Source organism: Homo sapiens, chromosome 6 (genome assembly GCF_000001405.40).
Source record: "Homo sapiens chromosome 6, GRCh38.p14 Primary Assembly".
Taxonomy (NCBI): Eukaryota; Metazoa; Chordata; class Mammalia; order Primates; family Hominidae; genus Homo; species Homo sapiens.
In genome coordinates, this window is record NC_000006.12 from 19102111 (window position 1) to 19128226 (window position 26116).

The 26116-nt window shown below is 35.1% G+C and overlaps 1 long non-coding RNA gene across 1 annotated transcript in view; it reads right to left on the reverse strand.

Moving 5' to 3' along the window:
- Window positions 1–26116, reverse strand: part of LOC101928519 (uncharacterized) — a 111938-nt gene that overhangs the window by 33568 nt on the left and 52254 nt on the right. Inside the window, exon 6 of the long non-coding RNA NR_110860.1 lies at window positions 24327–24533. This is a non-coding gene — a long non-coding RNA (uncharacterized LOC101928519). The remainder of the gene's footprint in view (window positions 1–24326; window positions 24534–26116) is intronic.

The window sequence follows — 26116 nt, forward strand, 5'->3', positions numbered from 1 at the left end:
CAATCACAAAATCACATTTTCATGCAGAAACAATGTAATAAATACAGTTTAAGCTCCCTGGAAGGCTCATAAAGCCTATTTGATCTGGGATATAACAGAACTGCTTTAGACTTGCAATAAAATGTAATTGGCTATACTACATATATAATCAAAACATAAAGCTGAAGAATACATCATTTTTATTACAAATGCTAATATTTGAGAAATTAGATTTTATTTCAGCAAAATAATAGACTAATTAGAACTTTTTGGAGCTTTGAAGAAAACTTTAGAATCCTTTGAAAATTTTATTTATTCAATAATTATTCAGAGAGCACCTACTCTGGGCCACGTATTGTTCTGGGGGCTACAAAAATAACAACATAGATAAAATTTCCAAGACCTTATTACAATGGCAGAAATAAATAATGAAGAAATAAACAGCAATGAAAACAAAAAATAATTTTCATTGTCACATATGCTGCAAAGTAAATAAACTATATGGCATGATAAAAGTAACTTGGGAAGGCCACTTAAGACACAGAGAACAGAGAGATGATTGTTGAATTAATGTTTAAAAGATAAACAATACAAATTATAAAAAGAAAGACAGAAACCAATTTCTTGCAGTGAAGGTCCTATTTGGGATGTCAAGATGATAGAAGGGGAAGTTTCAGCCTTCAACTCTCCCTCCACCCCCAACCCCCACCCAGAAACACTGATTTTAACAACTACACATGATAGCAATGCTTTTATGGTAGCCCAGTCATTTAGTTAAAATGTTCCAGCACCTCCATGAAGCAAAAACAAAACAAACAAAAAAAAACTGAAGAATAAATACACTAAGGGGAGTAAGAATAGCTTCACTTTACCCATATTATCCCTCCCCAAGCGCAGCATAGCTCAATGCAAAGAGATTCACTCAGCCTGTGATTTCTCCTAGTGGGAAAAAGGGAGATCAAATGAGTGCCTGGCTTCCCCAGCCTTCTGGGATGCCATCCAGGAGGCTCACTTGTGTTTCACCCCACCCAAAACACAGGGAATAAGCATAGCAAAAACATCTAGGGGCAGCTAGGAGCAGGGACAAGAGGAGAGGCTTAGTGGCAGCTGGCACACAAATCTCAACAAGCTGCAGATCCTACTGGCTGGGTTGAAGACTCTGCCTGGATCTCCAAACGCGAGTCTCATGGGGTGTCTCAACTGTGAACATCCAACAAGCTGACATATATCCTCAGCACTCTGCATGCACCACTTGATGTGGCTGGCATCCTGAGCACACCATAGACATCAACATGTATGTGCTCCCTCCATGGAGAGCACACATGAACCACCACAGATTGCATGTGAGCTTTCACACATAGGACACATAAATTAGCAGACAGCTCTGATGGATCAGGAGAAAGTGCACAGCCAAGAACCTTCAGGTCACTGCCCTAAGGAAAATAAACAAAAGGCTCTCAGAGTCCAGCCTGCTTTGTGGGACTGAGAGAAAGCACATAATTCTAAGACACCTCCCCACCACCACCACCACTGAGAAAGAACAAGAGAAATGGGAAAGGCACATTCATATAAAGGTCTGAGAGTCCGGGCATAGTGGCTCATGCCTGTAATCCCAGCACTTTGGGAGGTCGAGGTGGGTGGAAATATGAGGTCAAGAGATTGAGACCATCCTAGTCAACATGATGAAACCCCATCTCTACTAAAAATACAAAAATTAGCTAAGCTAAGGGGGTGGTGGCACGCGCCTATAGTCCCAGCTACTAGGGAGGCTGAGGCAGAAGAATTGCTTGAACCCAGGAGGTGGAGCTTTCAGTGAGCCAAGATCGTGCCACTGCACTCCAGCCTGGACAACAGAGTGAGATTCTGTCTCAAAAAAAAAAAAAAAAAGAAGAAGAAGAAAAAGGCCTGAGAGACCCCCCTCCTCCAGAATCTCTAGCCAGGCTGACTGATAAAAGTTTTGTTTTGTTTTGTTTTTTGTTTGTTTGTTTTATAAGCTAGTTAGCTAGAGTGGAGGATGTGATTGCTCCTTCAACTGCAGCAATGAAAGTCTTCAAGAAACATGAAAGGAAGACAGTAACACAAAGCTTCTAGGAACATAAAAAAATCAAAGAAACATGACACCATCAGAGTAACAAAATAGCTGAACAGCTGACTCCAAAAAAATGTGGATATGAATTGCCTGACAAAGAGGTCAAAATAATTGTCTTTTAAAAACTCAGTGAGCTAAAAGACAACAAAAAAAGCACAATTAATAAAATCAGGAAAATTATGTATTAACAAAAGTAGAAATTCAAGAGAGATATAAATCATAAAAGGGCAGAAATTCTAGAGCAGAAGAATAAAATAACTCTACTGAAAAATTAAAGAGATTGAAACAGCACAATGAAGTAGTAGAAAGAATAAGCAAACTTGAAGACAGATCATCCATTTCAAATTATCCAGTCAGAAAAACAAAAAGAATAAAAATTAGTGAAAAAAATACTTTGGGATTTATGGGACATCCTAAAGCAAACTGATATACACATTATATGAGAGTCCAAAGGGAACAACAGAAAAAGATAAAGGGGTAGAAAATTTATTTACACAAACTAGAAAACCTAGGTGAGATTGATAAATTCTTGGACATATACACCCTCTCAAGACTGAACCAGGAAGAAATTGATTCCCAAACAGACCAATAATGAGCTCCAAAATTAAATCAGTAATAAATAGTTGACACATAAAAAAGGCCGAGGAGCAGATGGATACACAGCCAAATCCAGCAGTACATCAAAGAGCTATTCCACCATAAACAGATAGGCTTCATCCCTGGGATGCACATTTATTGATTTTTAAAATCAACAATTCAACAAATGTGATTCATCACATAAACAGAACTAAAGACAAAAACTACATGATTATCTCAATAGATGTTAAAAAGGCTTTTGATAAAATTTAACATCCCTTCTTGTTAAAAACTCTCAGTAAATTAGGTATTGAAGGAACATACCTCAAAATAATAAGAGCCGTCTATGGCAAACCCACAGCCAACATTATACTGAATGCGCAAAAGCTGGAAGCAGTCCCCTTGAAATCTGGCATAAGACAAGATTACCCTCTCTCACCACTCCTCTTTAACATAGTATTGGAAGTCCTAGCCAGAACAATCAGGAAAGAGAAGGAAATAAGAGGCATCCAAATAGGAAGAGAGGAAGTCAAACTATCCCTCTTTGCAGATGACATGATTCTATATCTAGAAAACCCCATAGTCTAGGACAAAAAGCTCCTTAAGCTGATAAACAACTGCAGGAAAGTTTCAGTATCCAAAATCAATGTACAAAACTCACTAACACTCCTACACACAAACAACAGCCGAGTTGAGATCCAAATCAGGAAGGCAATTCCATTCACAATTTCCACACACATACACACACAAAAAACTCTAGGAATACAGCCAACCAGGGAGATGAAAGATCTCTACAATGAGAATTACAAAACACTGCTCAAAAAAATCAAGACACAAACAAATGGAAAAACATCCCAAGCTCATGGATAGGAAGACTCAATATCATTAATGTGTCCATACTGTCCAAAACAATTTACAGATTCAGTAATATTTCTTTTTTTAATTAATTAATTATTTTTTAAATTATACTTTAAGTTCTGGGATACATGTGCAGAACGTGCAGGTTTGTTACATAGGTATACACATGCCATGATGGTTTCCTGCACCCATCAACCCGTCATCTACATTAGGTATTTCTACTAATGCTATCCCTCACCTAGCCCTCCCCTCCCCCGACAGGCTCCAGTGTGTGATGCTCCCCTCTCTGAGTCCATGTGTTCTCATTGTTCAACTCCCACTTATGAGTGAGAACATGTGTTTAGTTTTCTGTTCCTGTGTTAGTTTGCTGAGAATGATAGTTTCCAGCTTCATCCATGTCCCTGCAATGGACACGAACTCATCCATTTTTATGGCTGCATAGTATTCCATGGTGTATATGTGCCACATTTTCTTTATCCAGTCTATCACTGATGGGCATTTGGGTTGTTTCCAAGTCTTTGCTATTGTGAATAGTGCCACAATAAACATACGTGTGCATGTGTCTTTATAGTAGAATGATTTATAATCCTTTGGGTATATACCCAGTAATAGGACTGCTGGGTTAAATGGCATTTCTGGTTCTAGATTCTTGAGGAATTGCCACACTGTCTTCCAAAATGGTTGAATTAATTTACACTCCCACCAACAGTGTAAAAGCATTTCTATTTCTACACATCTTCTCCAGCATCTGTTGTTTCCTGACTTTTTAATCATTGCCATTCTAATTCACGAGATGGTATCTCATTGTGGTTTTGACTTGCATTCCTATAATGAGCAGTTTCAATCCAAAGAAGACTTTACCAATATATGTTATAATCAAACTCAAAGTAAAAGATGAAATTATGAAAACAGCAAGAGAATAGAGGCTTATGATGCACAAGGGAACCTCCGTAAGACTATCAGTATATTTCTCAACAGAAACCTTACATGCCAGGGAGAAGAGGATGATACATTTAAAGTACTGAAAGAAAGAAAGTGTCAACCAAGAATACAATACTTTACCTGGCAAAGTTGTCCTCCAAACATGAAGGAAAGATAGAGACTTTCCTGGAGAAACAAAAGCTAAGGGAAATTATCACCATTCGGCCTGCCTTACAAGAAATAATAAAGGGAATTCTTCAAGCTCCAATGAAAAATTAACATGAAAACATATAAAAGTATAAAATTCACTGGTAAAGATAAGCATACAGTCAAATTCAAAGTTAAGTTGTTACCAATTAAAATAACCTGTTATAATCATATAAACTGTAAGATATTTTAGTAACCCTCCTAGCAACCAGAAGGCAAAAACATACATTAGATACACAAAAAATAAGGAGAAAAATTTCAAGTATACCACTGTAGAAAATCATGAAAGGAAAACAACAAGAGAGGAAAAAAGAAACAAACAATTTACAAAACAACCAGAAAACAATTATCAAAATGGCAATAGTAAGTTCTTACCTATCCATAGTTTTCTTAAATTTAAATAGATTAAGTTCTCCAATTAAAAGACACAGAGTGAATGAATGGATGTAAAAAGAAAATCCAACCATAAGCTGCCTGCAAATGACTCACTTTACTAGTAAGAACACACGAAGACCAAAATTGAAAAGATGGAAGAAGATATTCCATGCAAATGGAAATCAAAAGAGAGCAGGGACAGGCATACTCACATCAGACAAAATAGACATTTAAGTCAAAAACTGTAAAAATGGACAAAGGTCATTTTATAATAAAGTGATCAATTCCTCAGGAGGTTACCCATTGTAAGTATATATGCATCAAACATAAAGCATGAAAATATATAACAGATCTGAAAGGAGAAATAGACAATAATAAAATAATAGTAGGATACTTTAATATTCTACTTTCTGTTATTATTATTAATATGAGTTTCATTGAGAAATCATTGTATACTTTGTGGGGTAAAATGTAATTAATTTCTTGATAGATGTATACAATGTGGAATGCTTAAATCAAGCTAGTTAACATATTCTTCACCTTGCTTACTCATCATTTTTATGGTGAGACATTTGAAATTTACTGTCTTAGTTATTTTGAAATGTACAATCGATTATTATGTGCTATAGTCACTGCTATACAATAGATCTCAAAAATTGTTCTGTCTGAAACTCTGTACCCTTAGATCAGCAATTCCTCATTTCCTCCCTCCCACCCCACCCCATCCACAGCCTATGGTAACCATCATTCTGCTTTCTACTTCTGTGATTTCAACTTTTTTAGATTCCACATTAAAGTAAGATCATACAGTATTGGTTTTTCTGCAGCTGGCTTATTTCACTTAGACTATTGTCTTCTGGGTTTCTCCATATTGTTTTAAATGACAGAACTTCATTCTTTTTTAAAGGCTGAGTAGTATTCCATTATATATATATGTATATCTGGTATGTGCATATAGGTACATATGTGTATATATGGATATACTTTGTGTGGATATATGTGTGCACATATTTGTACATATACACATACACTCATATACATATGTGTCCATGTGTGTATAGATGTACATATATACACATATATACACTCACCAGATATATACCGAAGTGCATATATGTGTATGTATATGTATATATGTACATATATGTATATGTATACATAGGTATATATACATATACACACACCACAAAGCTAAATGTCCATGGACAAATTAGTAAAGAACATATGGTTTTCTTCATTCATGTGTCCATGAACATTTAGCACGGGTATATGTGTGTGTGTGTGTAGATATATATATATATACACACACACACACACACACGTACATTTTATTTATTCATTTTTCCATGGACATCTAGTTTTGTTCTATATCTTGGTTAATGTGAATAATGCTGCAAGAACCCTGGGAAGGCAGAAACCTCTTTGATATATTGACTTCAGATTTCTTTAATATATACTCAAAAGTGAGATTACTGGCCCATAGTTCTATTTTTAGTTTTTTGAGAGACCTACATACCATTTTCTATAATGACTGCAACAACTTTACATTCCTATCATCAATGTACAAAAACTCCCCTTTCTCTGCATCCTTACCAAAAGTTATCATTCCTCTTTTTGATAAAAGCCATTCTAATAGTTGTGAGGTCATATCTTATTATGGTTTTAATTTGCATTTTTCTGTGGATTAGTAATGCTGAGCACTTTTTCATGTACATGTTGGCCATTTGTATGCCTTCTTTTGAGAAATGTCTCTCCAGGTTCTGCTTATTTTTAAACAGGGTTATTTGTTTTCTTGCTATTTAGTTCTTTGAGTTCCTTGTATATTTTGAATTTTAAAGCCTTATCAGATGTATGGTTTGCAAATATTTTCTTCCATTCTGTTTGTTGTCTCTTCACATTGTTGCTTCCTTTGCTCTTCAGAAGCTTTTTAGTTTGATGCTGTCCCAGTTGTGTGTGTGTGTGTGTGTGTGTGTGTGCATGCACGTGTGTATGTGTGTGTGTGTGTCTTTTGCTTTTGTTGCTTGTGCTTTGGGGGTGCTTTCCAAAAACTCATTTCCAAAGCCATTGTCTTAGAACTTTCCCCTTATGTTTTCTTCTAGTAGTTTTATAGTTTCAGATCTTATATTTAAGACTTTAATTCATTTTGAGTTGATTTTTATATGGTGCTAGAAAATGATCCAATTTCATTCTTCTGCATGTAGATTTGCAATTTTCTCAACACCATTGAGGAGACTGTGCTTTCTGCATTGTGTGTTCTTGACACCGTTGTCAAAAATCCATTGACCATAGATGCATGGATTTTTGGGCTCTTATTTTGTTTCATTGGGTAATGTGTCTGTTTTATGACAGTGTCATGCTATTGTGATTATAGTCACTTTATAATATGTTCTAAAATCAGGGAGTGTGATATCTCCAGCTTAGTTTTTATTTTTTTGTTTTGTTCTTTGTTCAACATTGTTTTGTGTATTCAGAATCATTTGTGGTCCTATATAAATTTAGGAATTGATTTTTCCATTTCTGTGAAAAATATATGAGAATTTTGATGGAAATTGCATTGAATCTGTGGATTTTTTGGGTAATATGGACATTTCAGCAATATAAATTCTTACTATTCTTGATCATGTTATATCTTTATTTGTATTCATTTCAATTTCTGTCATAGCTCTTTCATAATTTTCAGTATAGAGGACTTTTATCTCCTTGGTTACATTTACTTCTAAGTATTTAAATTTTTGTTGCTACATCTGATCTTCAACAAACTTGATGAAAACAAGCAATGGGGAAAGGACTCCCTATTTGATAAGCAGTGCTGGGAGAACTGGCTAGCCATATGCAGAAAATTGAAACTGGACCCCTTCCATATACCTTATATAAAAATTAACTCAAGATGGATTAAAGAGCTAAATGTAAAACCCAAAATTGTAAAAACTCCAGAAGAAAGTCTAGGCAATACCATTCAGGACATAGTTATGGGCAAAGATTTTATGATTAAATTGCCAAAATCAATTGCAACAAAAGCAAAAATTGAAAAATGGGATCTTATTAAACTAAAGAGCTTCTGCACAGCGAAAGAAACTATCATCAGAATGATCACACAACCTACAGAATGGGAGAAAATTTTTGCCATCTATCCATGTGACAAAGGTCTGATATTCAGCATCTACAAGGTACTCACACAAATTTACAAGAAAAAGAAAAACCCATTAAAAAATGGACAAAGGACATGAACAGACACTTCTCAAAAGAAGACATTTATATGGCCAACAAACATATGAAGGAAAGCTCAACATCACTGATTATTAGAGAAATGCAAATCAAAACCACACTGAGATACTATCTCACACCAGTCAGCATGGCGATTATTAAAGAGTCAAGAAGCAGCCAGGTGCAGTGGCTTACGTCTGTAATCCCAGCACTTTGGGAGCCCAAGGCAGGTGGATTGACTGAGGCCAGGAGTTTGAAACCAGCCTGGCCAACATAGTGAAACCCTGTCTCTACTAAAAACAAAAAAATTAGCTGGGCGTGGTGGTGCATGCCTGTAGTCCCAACTACTTGAGAGGCTGAGGCAAGAGAATTGCTTAAATCCAGGAGGTGGAGGTTGCAGTGAGCTGAAATCCCACCACTGCACTCCAGCCTGGGCAACAGAGTGAGACTCTATCTAGAAAAGAAAAAAAAAAGTCAAGAAACAATAGATGCTGGCAAAGCTGTGGAGAAATAGGAACTCTTTTACACTATTGGTGGGAATGTAAATTAGTTCAACCATTGTGGAAGACCGTGTGGTGATTCCTCAAAGATCTAGAACCAGAAATACCATTTGGCCCAGCAATTTCATTACTGGGTATATATACAAAGGAATAAAAATCATTCTATTATAAAGACACATGTTCATTGCAGCATATCCACAATAGCAAAGACATGAAATCAACCCAAATGCTCATCAATGATAGACTGGATAAAGAAAATACGGTACATATACACTGTGGAATACTATGCAGCCACAAAAAGAAATGTGATCATGTCCTTTGCAGGGAAATGGATAAAGCTGGAAGCCATTTTCCTCAGCAAACTAACACAGGAACAGAGAACCAAATATTGCATCTTCTCATTTATAAGTGGGAGCTGAACAATGAGAATACATGGACACAGGGAGGGGAACAACACACACTGGGGCCTGTTGGGGGAAGGAAGGGGGTAGAGCATTAGGGAAAAGAGCTAATGCGTGCTGGACTTAATACCTAGGTGATGGGTTGATAGGTGCAGCAAACCAACATGGTACACATTTACCAATGTAACAAACCTGCACATCCTGTACACATGTACCCCAGAACTGAAAATAAAATAATAAAATAATTTTTTGTTGCTATTGTAAATTAGATTTTTTCCCTTAATTTCCTTTCAAATAGCTCATTTTTAGTATATAGAAAAACTACTGATTTTTATATGTTTATTTTGTGTCCTGCAACTTTATTGTATTTTTATCAGTTCTAACAGTTTTTTTGTGGAGTCTGTAGGATTTTCTCTATATAAAATCATGTTGTCAGCAAATAGAAATAATTTCATTTCTTCCTCTTCTATTTGGATGCCTTTTATTTGCTTTCTTTTCTAATTGCTCTGGCTAGGACTTCAAGTACGCTTTTGAAGAGAAGCAGTGACAGTGGTATTCTTGGCTTGGTGCTGATCTTACAGGAAAAGCTTTCAAATTTTCATTGAAAATGATAACAACAATGGGTTTGCCATTTATATCCTTTATTGTATTGAAGTACATTCCCTCTATACTAAATCTATTGAGAATTTTTATCATGAAAGGGTGATAAAATTTGTCAAATGCTTTTTCTGCATCTATTGAGATTTTTTAATTATGTAATTATTATGTAATTTTTGTTTTTCATTTTGTTAATGAGGTATATCACACATATGGACTTGTATATATTGAACTGTCCTTGCATCCCAGGAATAAATCCCACTTGATCGTGATGAATGATTCTTTTATAGGTCGTTGACTTCAATTTGTTAATGTCTTATTTTATTTAAGATTTTTGTATTTATGTTCATCAAGAATACTAGCTTATAATTTTTGTTTCTTTTTATGACCTTGTCTGGCTTTGCCATCAGGCTAAGGTTGGCCTCATGAAATAAGTTTGGGAGTTATTCCTTTTGAGATCCAGAAAGATTCATAATATAATTTTAAACCTTTTAAATTTGTTAAGATTTGTGTGTGTGTGTGGTGTAGCATATGATCAATCTGCAGAATGTTTCATGTCCATTTGAGAAGAATATGTATTCTACTGCTGTTGGATAAAAAGATTTGTTTATGATTGTTTGGTTCATTTGTTGTAAAATTCATGCAAGTTTAATTTTTTTTATTGAGTTTTCTGTCTAGATGATATTTCCATTGTTAAAAGTAGAATTTTGAGGTCCCTCTACTGTTATAGTATTGTAATCTCTCTCTTCAGATTATTTAATAGTAGCTTTATATATTTAGGTGCTGTGATGTTGGGTCCATATATACTTATAATTGTTATGTCCTCTTGGTGTATTATTCCCTTTATCATATTTAGTGACCTTCTTTGTCTCTTTTTAAAATTTTGACTTAAGGTGAGTTTTGTCTGATATAAGTGTACCTATCCTTGCTCTTTTATGGTTTCCATTTGCATGGACTATCTTTTTCTATCCCTTTACTTTCGGTCTTTGTGCATCCTTACTAGAAAATTGAGTCTCTTTTTAGGCAACATATGATTAGATCTTGTTTTTTACTCCATTCAGCCACTCTGTATTTTTATTAGATAATTTAACCCATTTAAATATAAAGTAATTATTAAAGGTGAGGACTTGCTACTGCCAGTTGGTAATATGCTTCTGATTGTTTTGTGGTTTCTTTTCCTTCCTTCCTTCTTTCCTTCCTTCCTTCCTTCTTGCTTTCCTTTCTTTTCCCTTCCTTTCTTCCTTTCCTTTCCCTTCCTTCCTTTCTTTCCTTCCTTCCCTCCCTCCCTCTTTCTTCTTCCTTCTTCCTTCTCTTTTTCTTTTTCCTTGCTTCCTTCTTCCTTTCCTTTCCTTTTCTTTTCTTTCCCTTTCTTTCTTTTCTTTCCTTTCTCTCTCTCTCTTTCTTTCTTTCTTTCTTTCTTTCTTTCTTTCTTTCTTTCTTTCCTTCTTTCTTTCTTTCTTTCTTTCTTCTCTCATCCTTCTTTCTTCAGGGTCTCTGTGTCATCCAGGCTGGAGTCCACTGGTGTGATCTCAGCTCACTGCAACCTCTACCTCCACGTTCAAGCAATCCTCCTGCCTTAGCCACTCAAGTACCTGGGATTACAGGTGTGCACCACCACACCCGGCTAATTTTTGTATTTTTGGTAGAGATGGGGTTTGCCATGTTGCTCAGGCAGGTGTCGAACTCCTGGGCTCCAGTGATCTGCCCGCCTTGGCATCCCAAAGTGCTGGGATTATAGGCATGAGCCACTGCACCCGGCTGAAGTCTTTTCTTTCTTTCTTCCTCTCTTGCTTTCTTCCTTTGTGGTGTGATGATTTTCTGTGGCCATATGCCTTGAATCCTGTCTTTATATATTTTGTGAAATTGCTATAGGCTTTTGGTTTGCAGTTATAATGAAGCTTATATTAAATATCTTAACCTTATAACAGGCTGCTTAAGCTGATAAAAACTTCATTTTAATAGTGTACAAAATTTCTACACTTTCCTTTTCTCCCTCCCACCATTCGTGATTTTGATATCAAAATTTATCTTTTTTTGTAATTTTTATATTTTAAAAATTTATTGTAGTTATTTTTAAATAGTTTTATCTTTTAACCCTCCTAGTAGGGATAGAATTGCTTTACACACCACTCTCACAGTACAAGAGATTCTGCATATGACTATGTATTACTTGTACCATTGAGAATTTTACTTTCATATGTTTTATGTTATTAATTAGCAGACTTTCACTTCAGCTTAAATAACTTCCTTTAGCAATTTCTGTAATGCAGTCCTAGAGGTGATACACTACCTTAGCTTTTGTTTCTCTGAGAAAGTTGTTTTCCCCTCATTTCTGATCGATGATTTTTTTTTTTTTTTTTTTTTTTTAGCTTTAGCACATTGAATATGTCATACTACTCTCTCCTGGACTGCAGAGTTTTTGCTGACAAATCTGCTGACAGCCATGTTGGAACTCTCTTGATTGTGGTATGTCTTTTATCTCTTGCTGCTTTCAGTATTCATTCTTTGCCTGATTTTTCATAATTTAATATGACATGTCTTCATAAACTTCTCTTTGGGTTAGATTTGACTGGTAATCTCTGAGTTTTCTGTAACCAAGTGGTGTCATCTTTCCCAAAATTTGGAAAATTGATAGCCATTATTTTCTTATATATGTTTTTCAGGACTCTGTCTTTCTCATTTTCCTCAGGAATTGCTATTACGAAGGTTAATTCACTTGATGGTGTTCCATAATTCCCATTGATCTTCTTTACTTAGTCTCTTTTTTTTTGTTGTTTCTGCTTCTATGATTGAATAATTTCAAATGTATTTTAGAGCTCACTGATTCTTCCTTATTCTTAATCATGTCTCCTGTTGAAACTTTCTATTGAATTTTTCAGCTCAGTTATTATCTCTAAGATTTCAAATTTTTTGTTGTTTTGTTTCTTTGTCAAACTTACCATTTTGTTCATAAGTTGCCTTGTATATTTTATTTAATTTTTGTCCATATTTTCTTGGATTTCCCTTGGATTTTGAATTGTTAGTCTTTTCATAGATCTCCATTTTTTATAGAGTTGATTATTAGAACTTTATTCATTTCTTTTGATGGTGTCACATTTCCCTGATTTTTCATAATCCTTATGTCCTTACATAATGCTTGCACATTTGAGAAGATGGCCACCTCTTTCATCATTTGCAGGTGTTCTTTGGAATTTACAGACCTTTACCCTTTAGTCAAGCTTGGGATTTTGGATGGGCTAACTGGTAGCAACCCTGTACAGGCAAACCTTGGTGTTAGGTTCTCTAGTTGGGCTGGGTTACTTCTTGTGCTCTGAGATCATGTGGTATTGTTGGCTGTGCTCCATGTTCTGGTGATACCACTGGCTGGACTATGCCATCACACAGCTGCTGGCTAGGTCCTGTAAATATTTCTGATTGGGCAGGGATGAATATTGTCTCCATGGCTGGGCAATATTGTCTGGAATCTGAAGTTGAGAAATGCTGTGTGCAGGGCACTGAGGCTGGGTAACATCTCTGGGCTTGCTGTTTGGCCCACACTGGGTGGGTAGGGCCAGAGGTTATGTTCCACAGATATGCATGGACTTGGGCTTGCCTCTCAGTGTAAAGTGGGCTTAAGCAGAGTACCAAGAATATGTAGAGTTGCCACTCAACAGCCGTGAGTGGGTGGGACCGGATGTTCCCTCCATGAATAACCACTGACCTGCTGTTGCCTTCTGGCCTGGATAAGGCTTAACAAGAGCACCGGGGCTATGTGAGGGAGTTGATTAGGGACTCAAGTCTGGCAAACCTATGGAACATGCTTTCTGCCACATGATTCTGTGAGCTAGTCTCTACGTTTTGGTGCCTCTGCCATCTAGAATACAGACCAACAGCCAAGATCTGTACTTTGGTTGCTGTGAGCCCCACCCTTGCATTTTGTTTCTAATTGACCTCAGGTGATCTATTCCTGCTGGTAATGTCAATGTTTCCTATAGGGCAAGACAGAAATAGGCCCCTTGCAAAGGGTCCCAGAAAGGTGGTGAGCTGAATGTCCACCTTCAACTCACTTCTTCCACTGTAAAAACCATGGATTTTGTCACATCCTCTGTGTGTAGTGCTGTCCTGGGTTATGGGAAGGGTGACATCGCCCAAGAGAACCATTCTTCTTATCTTTTGAATGCAGCATTTTTCAGTTCTAGTTTCCCAAGGGATATCTCAGCCTCACTCCTGAGTTTGGGATATTCACAAAAGTATTTTTGCCTGAGAATATTTGTTAGTTGGATTTCTGTGTGTGGGTGTGTGTGTATAGCACAGGTGTGGGCTGGAGTTGGGGGAGTAGTTTAGCTGAAGAATTCCTGTTCCACCATTTTGCTAACATCATTTCTACCAATACCCCACTTTCAACAGTGGACAGATCATTCAGAATTAAATTAATAAAAAATTGGATGTGACCTTCACATTAAACCAAATGGACCTAAAAATTTATAGAACATTTTATCCAACTGCAGCAGATACACATTTTTCTCAATCACACATGGTACATTCTCTAGGATAGATTATGTGTTAGGCCACAAACAAGTTTGAATACATTTCTAAGAATATTGAAATCACATCAAGTATATTTTCCAATCACAATGCTATAAAACTATAAATGAATAATATAAAATATTTGAAAATTCACAAACACATGGGAATTAAACAACACACTCATGAACAACCAATGGGTCAAAGAAGGCCTCAGAAGGAAACTTAAAAATATCTACAGACAATGAAAATGGAAACATAACATACCAAAACTTATGGAATGAAGCAAAAGCAGTTCTAAGAGGAAAGTTTATAGCAACAAATGCCTACATTAATAAAAAAGAAAGACTTTAAATAAAAAGCCTAACATTACACTACAGGGAATCAGAAAAAGAAGAAAAAACTAAAACCAAAATTAGAAGGAGGAAGGAAAAAAACAAAGAAATAAATGAGCAGAGCAGAAATAAATGAAACTGAGACTAGAAAAGTATTAAAAAAGATTAACAAAACTGGGTTTGCTTATGAAAAGATAAAATTGAGAAACTCTTAGCTAGAATAGGAAAAAGAGAGAAGATTCAAATAAATAAGATTAGAAATGAAAGATGATACACTACTAGTCAAGACAATCCTAAGCAAAAGAACAAAGTTGGAGGCATCATGCTACTCAACCTCAAGCTATACTACAAGGCTACAGTAACCAAAACAGCATGGTACTCATAAAAACACAGACACATAGAAAAATGGAATAAAATAGAGAACTCAGAAATAAGACCACACATCTACAACTATCTTATCTTCAGCAAACCTGACAAAAACAAGCAATGGGGAAAGGGTTCCCTATCTGATAAGTGGTGCTGGGAGAACTGGCTAGCCATATGCAGGAAATTGAAACTGGACCCCTTTCTTATACCTTATACAAAAATCAACTCAAGATGGATTAAAGACTTAAATGTAAAACCCAAAACTATAAAAACCCTAGAAGAAAATCTAGGCAATACCATTTAGGACATAGTCAGGAGCAGAGATTTTATAACAAAAACATGAAAAGCAATTGCAACAAAAGCAAAAATTGAAAAATGGGATCTAATTAAACTAAAGAGCTTCTGCACAGCAAAAGAAACTATCATCAGAGTGAACAGACATGGGAGAATCAAAGAAAAGTTTTGCAATCTATCCATTTAACAAAGGTCTAATATCCAGAATCTACAAGGAACTTAAAACAAATTTACAAGAAAAAACCAACCCCATTAAAAAGTGGGCAAAGGACATGAACAGACACTTCTCAAAAGAAGACATTTATGTGGCCAAAAAACATGAAAAAAAAGCTCAACATCACTGATTATTAGAGAAATGCAAATCAAAACCACAATGAGATACCATCTCATGCCAGTCAGAATGGTGATTATTAAAAAGTCAAGAAACAACAGATGCCGGCAAGGCTGTGAAGAAATAGGAACTCCTTTACACTGTTTATGGGAATGCAAATTAGTTCAACCATTGTGGAAGACAGTGTGGCGATTCCTCAAAGATCTAGAACCAGAAATACCATTTGGCCCAGCAATCCCATTACTGGGTATATTCGCAAAGGAATATAAACCATTCTACATGCATGACTATGTTCATTGCAGCACTATTCACAATAGCAAAAACATGGAATTAACCCAAATGCCCATCAATGATAGACTGGATAAAGAAAATGTGGTACATATACACCATGGAATACTATACATCCATAAAAAGAAATGAGAGCATGTCCTTTTCAGGGACGTGGATGGAGCTGGAAGCCATCATCCACAGCAAACTAACACAGGAACAGAGAACCAAACACTGTTTGTTCTCACTTATAAGTGGGAGCTGAACAGTGAGAATACATGGACACAGGGAGGGGAACAACACATACTGGGGCCTGTTGGGAGGTGGAGGCAGGGAGAGGGAGAGTGTCAGGATAAAAAACTAATGCATGCTGAGCTTAACACCTAAGAGATGGGTTGACTGGTGCAGCAAACCACCATGGCACACGTTTACCTATGTAACAAACCTGCATGTCCTGCACATGTATTCCAGAACTTAAAATATTTTTAAAGAAAAAAAGATGACACTTATAACTGATACTACAGAAATACAAAGGATTATTAGAAACTACTCTGAACAATTGTATACCAACAAACTGGATAATCTAGAAAAAAATGACACATTCCTGCATACATACAGTCTACCATGACTGAATCATTATGAAATAGAAAATCTGAACAAACCAATAATAAGTAAGAAGATTGAATCAGTAATAAAAAGTCTTTCATCAAAGAAAAGCACAGGACAGGATGGCTTTGCTGCTGAATTCTACCCAACATTTAAGGAATAATTAATACCAATTATTCTCAAACTTCCCAAAAATTGAAGTGAAAGTAATACTCCCAAAACTTAATTTGTGAGGCCAGCATTACCCTGATAGCAAAGCCAGACGAGGTCATAATATGAAATAAAAATTACAAGCCAGCATTCTTGATAAACATATATGTAAAAATGCTAAATAAAATATTAACAAACTGAAATCAACAACCCATAAAAGAATCATTCGCCATGATCAAGTGAGATTTATTCCTGAAATGCAAGAAAGATTCAACATATGCAAATTAACAAATTTCATACACTACATTAACAACATTAAGGATAAAAATCATGTGACTATCTCAACAGATGCAGGAAAGGCATTTGCCAAAATTCAACATTCTTCATGATAAAAAACACTCAACAAATTAGATCTGCAAGGAATGTACCTCAGTACAATAAAGGCTGTATATGACAAGACCAGAGGTAACATTACCATTCATGGTGAAAAGCTGAAAGCTTTTCCCTTACCATCAGTACATAGGTAAGAATGCCCACTTTCACCCCTTTTTTTTTTCCAATAGGGTACTAGAAGTCCCAGCCATAGAAATTAGGCAAAAGAAAGAAATAAAAGGCTTCCAAATTGGAAAGGAAGAGGTAAAATTGTCTCTGTTTGCAGATGGCATATTATATATATATATAGAAAACCCTAAGTACTCTATCAAAGAAGTATTGGAACTAATAAATTAATTCAGGATAGAAAATTAATATATAAAAATTACTAGTGTTTCTCTACACTAACAACAAACTACACAATCACATTTACAACAGCATCCAAAATAGTAAAATCCTTAGAAAGAAATTTAACCAAGGAGGTGAAAAATCTACACACTGAAAACTATAAAACATTGATGAAAAAATAAAAAATACACATAAATGGAAAGACATTTCATGTTTATAGACTGAGAGAATCAATATTGTCAAAATGTTCATACTGCCCAAGGCAATGCACAGATTCAGTGAAATTCCTATCAATGGAATTTTATTATAGTTTTATACAATCTATATATATACATATACGTATATACACACATATACGTATATGTGTATATATGTATGTATATATGTATATGTATATGTGTATATAGATTGTATATATAATATATAATAAATATATAGATTGTATATATATACATATACATATACATATATACACATACAAATCCCAGGAGACATTATTTTAGTTTTATACAATCTATATATACATATACGTATATACACATATATGTATATACACATATACATATATGTATATATAGATTGTATAAAACTATAATAAAATAATGTCTCCTGGGATTTAAAATGCACATTGAATTAAAATACAAAAAATAAGCACAGAAGTCAGAAGATAGATAAGAGAAAATAAACTGTTCTAAAATTCTTACCTTGTATGAGAAAACCAAAGTTTTCACATAAATAAAAAAAATCCTGAAAATTTTATGGAACCACAAAAAATCCCAAATAGCTAAAGCAATGTTGAAGAAGAACAAAGCTGCAGGCATCACACTTGGTAAGTTAACAGAAGAGGAAAATGGGCAAAGAGAAAATGAGGTAATCTTGATAAGTTAATATAGGAGAAAAATGGGCTAGATAACAGTAAAATGATATAAACTCAAATATATGTATCAATGATTATATTAAAAGTAAATAGCATATTTAAATTAAAAGACAAAGGAAATGACTGCATAAAAATAACAATGATAGGTTGCTTATAAGAAACTGTGGGAGCCATAGACTATTGGTCCCCTAAAGGTTCACTGAAAAATCCCTGACATGAGGTCGATTAACAGGAGAAAAGGCATACGAATTTATTTAATGTGTTTACATGGGAGTCTTCAGAATGAAGACTCAACCCAAAAATAAGATACAGAAGCTTATATACCATCCTGAGGCCACTGAAAAAAATGTGGACTCAGAGCATGGACCCAAACAGGTTATGTGGGTAAATCAGGTTTACTGGAAAGACAGATCATGAGAGGGAGAAAGGAAGAGGTTTGGCTAGCAAAGTTGGACTTGTTATATAGATGAAGCCTCCCTCATAGAGAATAGATGGTAAATGTTTCTTTTCAGATTTTTGAAGGTGTCAGACTCTCAATCTCTCCTAGATCCAAGAGAGGCATAGAAATGGATGGCATGGCTGCATTAATGAAGATTCTCTAGGGGTGCAAATTTCCCCTACCTCAGTCTGCTAGCCTCGAGGCAGCCATTTCAAATATATATCAAAAGATAAATTTTGGGGTAAAATAGTTTTTATTACCTTTAATACATATTTTAAGTATACTGGCATAAAGATTGAAAGTAAAAGAACAGAAAAAACATGCCATACAAAACACTAAATGTTATATAGTTATGCTAATATTAGATAAATTAGAAGTTAAAGCAGTAGATATTATAGAGATAAAAATTCAATCATTTAATAAGGAATTTAAAACAAAGAAATGAGATTCTAAATTTATATTTACCCAATAATACAGCCTCCAAATATATAAAGAAAATCTCTTAGAGAAATCAAAGAAGCAGGCAAATAGGAGAAGATTTTACTGACAACTCCCAGTTACTGATAAAATTAACAGGCCAAAATTAGTAAAGATATAGATGATACAGATGATTAGGCAACGTGATTAATATACTTGACTTCATTTAAACATATAGAATACTGTGCAGTGGAACTGCAAAATACATATTCTTTTCAATTGTACATGGAACATTACTAAAAATAGATTATATACCAGACCATAAAGTGATTCTGAAGAAATTCTATAGTATTAGAGCCATACATAGTATGTTTTCTGTGCCAAGTAAAATTAAAGTGTAACAGAGCCTATATTTTAAAAATCTTAAGGTGTTTGCTCTACTTATTTTCCTTCTCTTTGTCCTTTTCTTCTTCCATGCATGATTGCTTGCACTTAGTCATTTCCATAGAGAGAGAGTAGTCACTAATAATTGATTAACTTTACATCCTGACCCTTGGGAGTTGCCTACTTGATTAATGAACTTGTTTTTCAGAGAACAGTAATTCTTAGGTCATGCTGACCTCCTTGATGGCATTCAGAAGTTTGATTAGCTGAGGGATGCAAGCAGCTTTGATCACTGGGGACCTCACTTCCTGCATACTTACCTTATTCATAAAAGTCACCAGTTATGTTCAAAGCCATGTTGGATTTGAGAGTCTGCCTCTCCTCTTCTCATGCTTTAGCCAAATCAAATAAACCTTTCTCTGCTCCTAAACAGTGATATGTCAGTGTTTGGCTTACTGTGCAAATCGTACTCAAAACTAGCTTTTGGGGTTTTTACAACAAATGTAGAAATAAAAGGGGACAACTATAATATCTCAAAATATTTAGACACTAAGCAACATACAAATAAATAATGGATTCAAAGAAGACATCATGATGATAATTTTAAAAGATTTTGGAAATTGGAAGTAGCATGAGAAAAAGGATTCATTACATGTCAGAGATGCTTAATAAAATTAACAGCAGATTTCTCATCAGAAACCATGGAGACTAGAAGAAAATGGGATGACATATTCAAAGCTCTGAGAGACAAAAACCGTGTCAATCAAGAACACCATATCTGGCAAAATAATTCTTTTAAAATAGAGAAATTAAGACATTGCCAGATAAACAAACATGAAGAGAGTTTGCTACTAGCAGACCTGCCCTCTAGGAAACATTGAAAAGAGTCCTTCAGGCTGAAGAGAAAGAACACGAGACAGTAACTTGAATACACGTAAAGAAAATAAAGAACACTAGTAGAGATACTGACATAGGTAAACATAAATGACAGTAAAATGTATATTCTGTTCGTAACCCTTTTTTTTCTTGTATCTGATTTAAAAGACAACTGCATAAATCAAAAATTGTAAGTCTAAGTTGATGGACACACAATGTAAAAAGATGAAATTTGTGAAAATAACAGCATGAAAGAGACAGGAAATAGAACTTTATAGAAGCAAAGCTTTTGTATACTATTGAAATTAGGTTGGTGTTAATCCAAAATACATTGTTATAAATGAAGTTGTCATGGTAATCCCCAGGGCACCACTAAGAAAATACCATTTAAAAATGACCCAGGAAATAAAAGTTAAACTTTTTCTACTTTAATGGATACTATCAAGCAAGTGAAAATGGTAAAACTGGAAGAAAGTATTTGCAAATCATATATCTGATAAAGGTCAAATATCCTGAATATATACAGAATTCTTACAACTCAATAATAAAAATAAATTTAAACAAGTTTTTAACAATGAGCAAAAGGCGTGAGTAGACATTTCTATAAAAATATACAAATGGTGGATAAGCTTATGAAAAGGTGTTCAATATCATTGGACATTAGGAAAATGCAAATTCAACCCAAAATGCAATGCCAATTTATACTTACTGAGAAGGTTATAGTTTAAACAAATGAACAAATGTTGGGGACCCTGAAAATATGTTAGAACTCTCATACATTGCCTGTGGACATGTAAAATCATACAGCCACTGTGGAAAACATTTTTTGCAGTTTCTCAGAAAGTTAAATGTAGAATGATCATAAGATTCAGGAATTATACTCCTCAGTATGTACCATCAGGATTGAAAACACAGCTTTGCACAAAAATATGTACACTTGGTACGTAGCTGGATTACTTATAACAGCCAAAATGTAGAAACAACCCAAGTGTGTAACAACTGATGACTGGAGAAACAAAACGCTTAGTCATACAATGAAATGTTACTCAGCACGAAAAAGGAAAGAAGTACTGATATATGGATGAACCTTGACAGCATTATGCTAAGTGAAAGAAACCAGAAACGTAAGACTACATGTTGTATATTCCATTTATATGACATGTCCAGTTCGTGGCTGTTGTCCCAAAGTAATACTTAACACATCCTTTTCATGTTCAAAATTGCCCCCATTTGAATGATAAATTGCAAGATAATCCTATTATTGTGTAAAATCTGTGGTAGAGTGTGAAGGTGTGTTTGATTAATCTGAGAGAGAAGAGTAGTGCTATAGAGCAATATTGGATTAGACACTTTTCCAGGATGCATTCCAGAGTAAGTTGCTTCAAACAAATTTGGTAAGACCAAGGACTAGGCCAAAAACAAGAAACAAGAATAGTACATAAGCAATGACAACTATCATGTGAACTCTCTTCTTCTGTAAGGTACACTTATATATGTAATGATAATGACTCAGAAAGTGCTGGGAGGCAAAACTTTCCAAATAATAATCATCTCCTATTGAATAGAAAATGCATGTTATACCAATTTTAAAAATAGTACCAAGTAGTTTTGTTTTGTGGATTACTGCTCTTCAAGAATGATTCTATCTAGTCCTCTTCATTACTTATAAATAAATACTTTCTAAGGACACTTTTTCCAAATGAAGATTTCATTTCTAAAACCTGTAACAATATTACTTACAAGATTCTTAGTGGAGACCTTGTAAATATACCTGTGCTGTTTCAGGTATTCTAGAAAATTAAGCACATTTCTTACCTTTCTTATTGATAGCTCTTTGCATTCAGAAATGCACTATTCATTTTAAATGAAATACGAGTAACTTTCTTAATTCTATGTTACTAAAACAAAACAATTTGAATGTGCTTCCATGATTGAAAGAAAGCATATGTCTGAAGTATCCACTTTTACTAGGAAAATTAACAAAAATGAAAATTGCTTGTGTTGAATATTTAAAAATTTGATGACAATAAAAATTATATTTTCACTAAAGTATTCTAAAATATGATTATTAAATGGATCTCATTGATGTAACAAGGCAGTCTTGAAGTACCTACTTTAGCCTCAAGCATTGTAAATTTTTTTAAAGCCTATTTTGTGGAATACAATGCAGCCATAAAAAAGAATGAGTTCATGTCCTTTGCAGGGACATGGATGAAGCTGGAAACCATCATTCCCAGCAAACTAACACAGGAACAGAAAACCAAACACCACATGTTCTCACTTATAAGTGGGAGCTGAACAATGAGAACACATGGACACAGGAAAGGGAACATCACACACCGGGGCCTGTTGGGGGTGGTGGGCAAGGGGAGGGAGAGCATTAGGACAAATACCTAATGCATGTGGGACTTAAAACCTAGATGATGAGTTGATAGGTGCAGCAAACCACCATGGCACATGTGTACCTATGTAACAAACCTGCGCATTCTGCACATGTATCCCAGAACTTAAAGTAAAATGAAAAAAAAAATGTCTATTTCAAATACTACTAAATATTTGAAGGACATTTTTTCTAATTAGAACAATATACACATTATATTTATAGTTTTTTTAAAACTACATTTTCATTTTTTCCTATGTGACCAACATTAGGAAAATATACTTCAGATTTTGTGGAATCTTCTTTTTGCAATATTTCCTTATTTTTGAACTTTATGTAGCAAAAAGCACTTTTCACCAGTCAGCGTTTACAACTATTTATCTAATTCCTAGTGGTCACAGGAGAGGGTCTGGCCTAAGAAAGACGCATGCTCAGTGGAGCTCATTTGCCTGGCATCTTCCAGGAAGAAAGTATCTGGAATCACTACAGGAGCATCCAGGAAGTCGGTCTCTCTATCTCTCTGTCTCTCTAGGTCTCTTTGTCTCACCCACCTTGTTAGACCAGCTTCTTCCTATCAGAAGAATTAACAGAGAAATGTCTCTAATATCAAATTTCTTGAGGCTGAGAGAAAAAAAAGGCAGAATACCATTTTGTCAGTTATTCCCAAGACAAATACTGTAGGAAACGTGAAAAGCTAGAAAGAGAAAAAGAGAATATGGTTAAATGCCTTTGCACTATATTCAGAAGGAATTGGCCTAAAACAGAGCCTATATGGAAGGAGAACAAAGTTGGGAGACTGGCACTATCCAACTTCAAGACAAAGCTACAGTAATCAAGGCAGTTTGGCACTGGCAAAAAAATAAACAAATAGGCCTACGGGACAGAATAGAGAGCTCCAAAATAGATCCACATAAATATAGTCAACTGATCTTTGACAAACTAGCAAAGGCAAAACAATGGAGAAAAGCTAGTCTTCCCAACAAATGGTACTGGAACAACTCAACATCCACATGGCAAATAGTGAATACAGTTACAAACCTTATACCTTCACAAAAATTACCTAAAAATGAACTATAACCTAAATGTAAAATGCAAAGCAATAAAACTCCTGGAAGATAACGTAGGAGAAAACCAAGATGACCTTGGTTTAGAAATGATGTTTTAGATATAACATCAAGTAAGTGATTCATTAAAGAAATAACAAAGGTTAGACTTCATTGAAATAAAAAAAAAATCTGTTCTGCAAAAGACACTGTTAAGAGAATGAAAAGACAAGCTTGAAATTGGGAGAAACTATTTGCAAAAGACATATCTGATAATAGACTTATCCAAATTGTACAAAGAACTCTTAAATCTCAACAATAAGAAACAAACAACCAAAAGACAATGGGCCAAAGATATAAACAGACACTTTACCAAAAAAGATATACAGATGGCAATAAGCATATAAAAAGATGTTCAACATCATGGCATTAAAACATCATGCAAATTAAAAAAAAAAAAACAATGAATTATCACCACACACATAGAAGAACTAAAATCCAAAACACTGACAACACTTAGGATAGAGGTGGAGCAACAGGAACTCTCATTCATTACAGGTGGGAATACAAAAAGGTACAGCCACTCTGGAAGACAGTTTGGCAGTTTCTTTATAAAATGAAACAAACTTACCATATAATCCAGCAGTTGTGCTCCTTGGTATTTACCCAAATGAACTGAACACTTATATCTACACAAAAACCTGCACATAGATGTTTACAGCAGCTTTACTGGTAACTGTCAAAACTTGGAAGCAAGACGATCTTCAGTAGTGAATGGATAAATAAACTGTGGTACATCCAGATGATGGAATATTATTTATTGCAAAAAGGAAATAAGCTATAAAAACACATGGAAGAAATGTAAATGCATATTACTAAGAGAAAGAAGCCAATCTTAAAAAAGCCAAATGCTATATAATTCCAATTATATGACATTCTGGAAAAGATAAAACTGTGAAGGTAGTAAAAAGGTGACTGTTTGCCAGGGATTAAGCAGGAGAAAGGGAGGCATAGGCAGGACGCAGAGGATTTTTTGGCCAGTAAAGCTGCTCTGTATGATACTGAATAGGTGAGTACATGCCATTATACAGTTGTAAAATCCCTAGAATGTACAACACCAAGAGTGAACCCTAATGTAAACTATGGATTTGGGGTGACAGCAATGTGTCAGTGTAGGTTTATCAATTATAACAAATGTGTGACTGTGATACAAGATGTTGATAGTAGGAGAGGCTGTGCTTGTGTGAGGGCAGGCTGTATGGGGGAACTCTGTGTACTCTGTATACAGTTTTTGCTGTGAACTCAAAATGGCTTTAAAAACTAAAGCTTTTTTTTTCTTTTTAAAAAAAGAATTTCTCGTTTTATCCTCTGCATTCACTTAGCAAAGATAAAGGTGAGCCTGGAGTTGTTTCTCAAGTCGGGGTACTGAAGAAAGAAAGTAAAGGGCTATTGTTGCCTGCCACCAGCTTTCAGATAGCCTGTCAATCAAAGATAGCTTTGTGCTGTACTCAAAGACAGCAACACAGCTCCCTGTGCTGGGGTTGTTAAAGTCGTATCTGAAATTGCACTCACTCCTCTCATAGTCCTGAGGTACCAACTCTATTTGTATTTGTGGGCTTCAGTTTTACTCTTTCCTAAGACTTTTTCTAGATAATTTCTGTTTGTTTTTTTTTTTCTGGTGTGTAGTTTTTGTTTCACTTGTAAAGTGAACAAAATTTAGAAATCAACGGTAAAAAAATGGAGAGAGCCCCTTAGAATTATTTTTTCATTACAAAAAATTAGGCAGGCATGGTGGCGGGTGCCTGTAGTCCCAGCTACTCAGGAGGCTGAGGCAGGAGAATGGCGTGAACCCGGGAGGCGGAGCTTGAAGTGAGCTGAGATCGCACCACTGCACTCTAGCCTGGGCAGCAGAGCGAGACTCCGTCTCAAAAAAATAAAAAATAAATAAAAGAATTATTTTTTCATACATACATTTAAAAAACATGGCAATGCTCTATACTTTAGATGATAAAGTTGTTTTGCATGGGAGTATGGGTTATTTATTCTGTTATTGCTATACATGTACACTGACACTGAACAGTGAAGTAAATGGATGGCAGATGGTGGTAGCCAAGTTTCTCACTGCTGGAGTAGAAATCTATAGATAAGCAAGGGGAGGAAGCTAGAATGATCCATGTGGTAATAGGTTAGATTTGGATAATTCAGTATCAACTCATGTTTAGCTTAATAAACAGATGGTTATGAATAGTAATATTTATAAATATGTATATATATAGGGGTAAGTATACAGACATGTATTTTCCTTTTCCGTCAGTTGAGGCAAACAAACGAGTTAGTGACAAGCACACCTAGCACCAAGATCTTGGTGTCTAATACCATTCTCTAGTAAAGGTAAGCAGGACTTGGAGAAATGGCTGATTT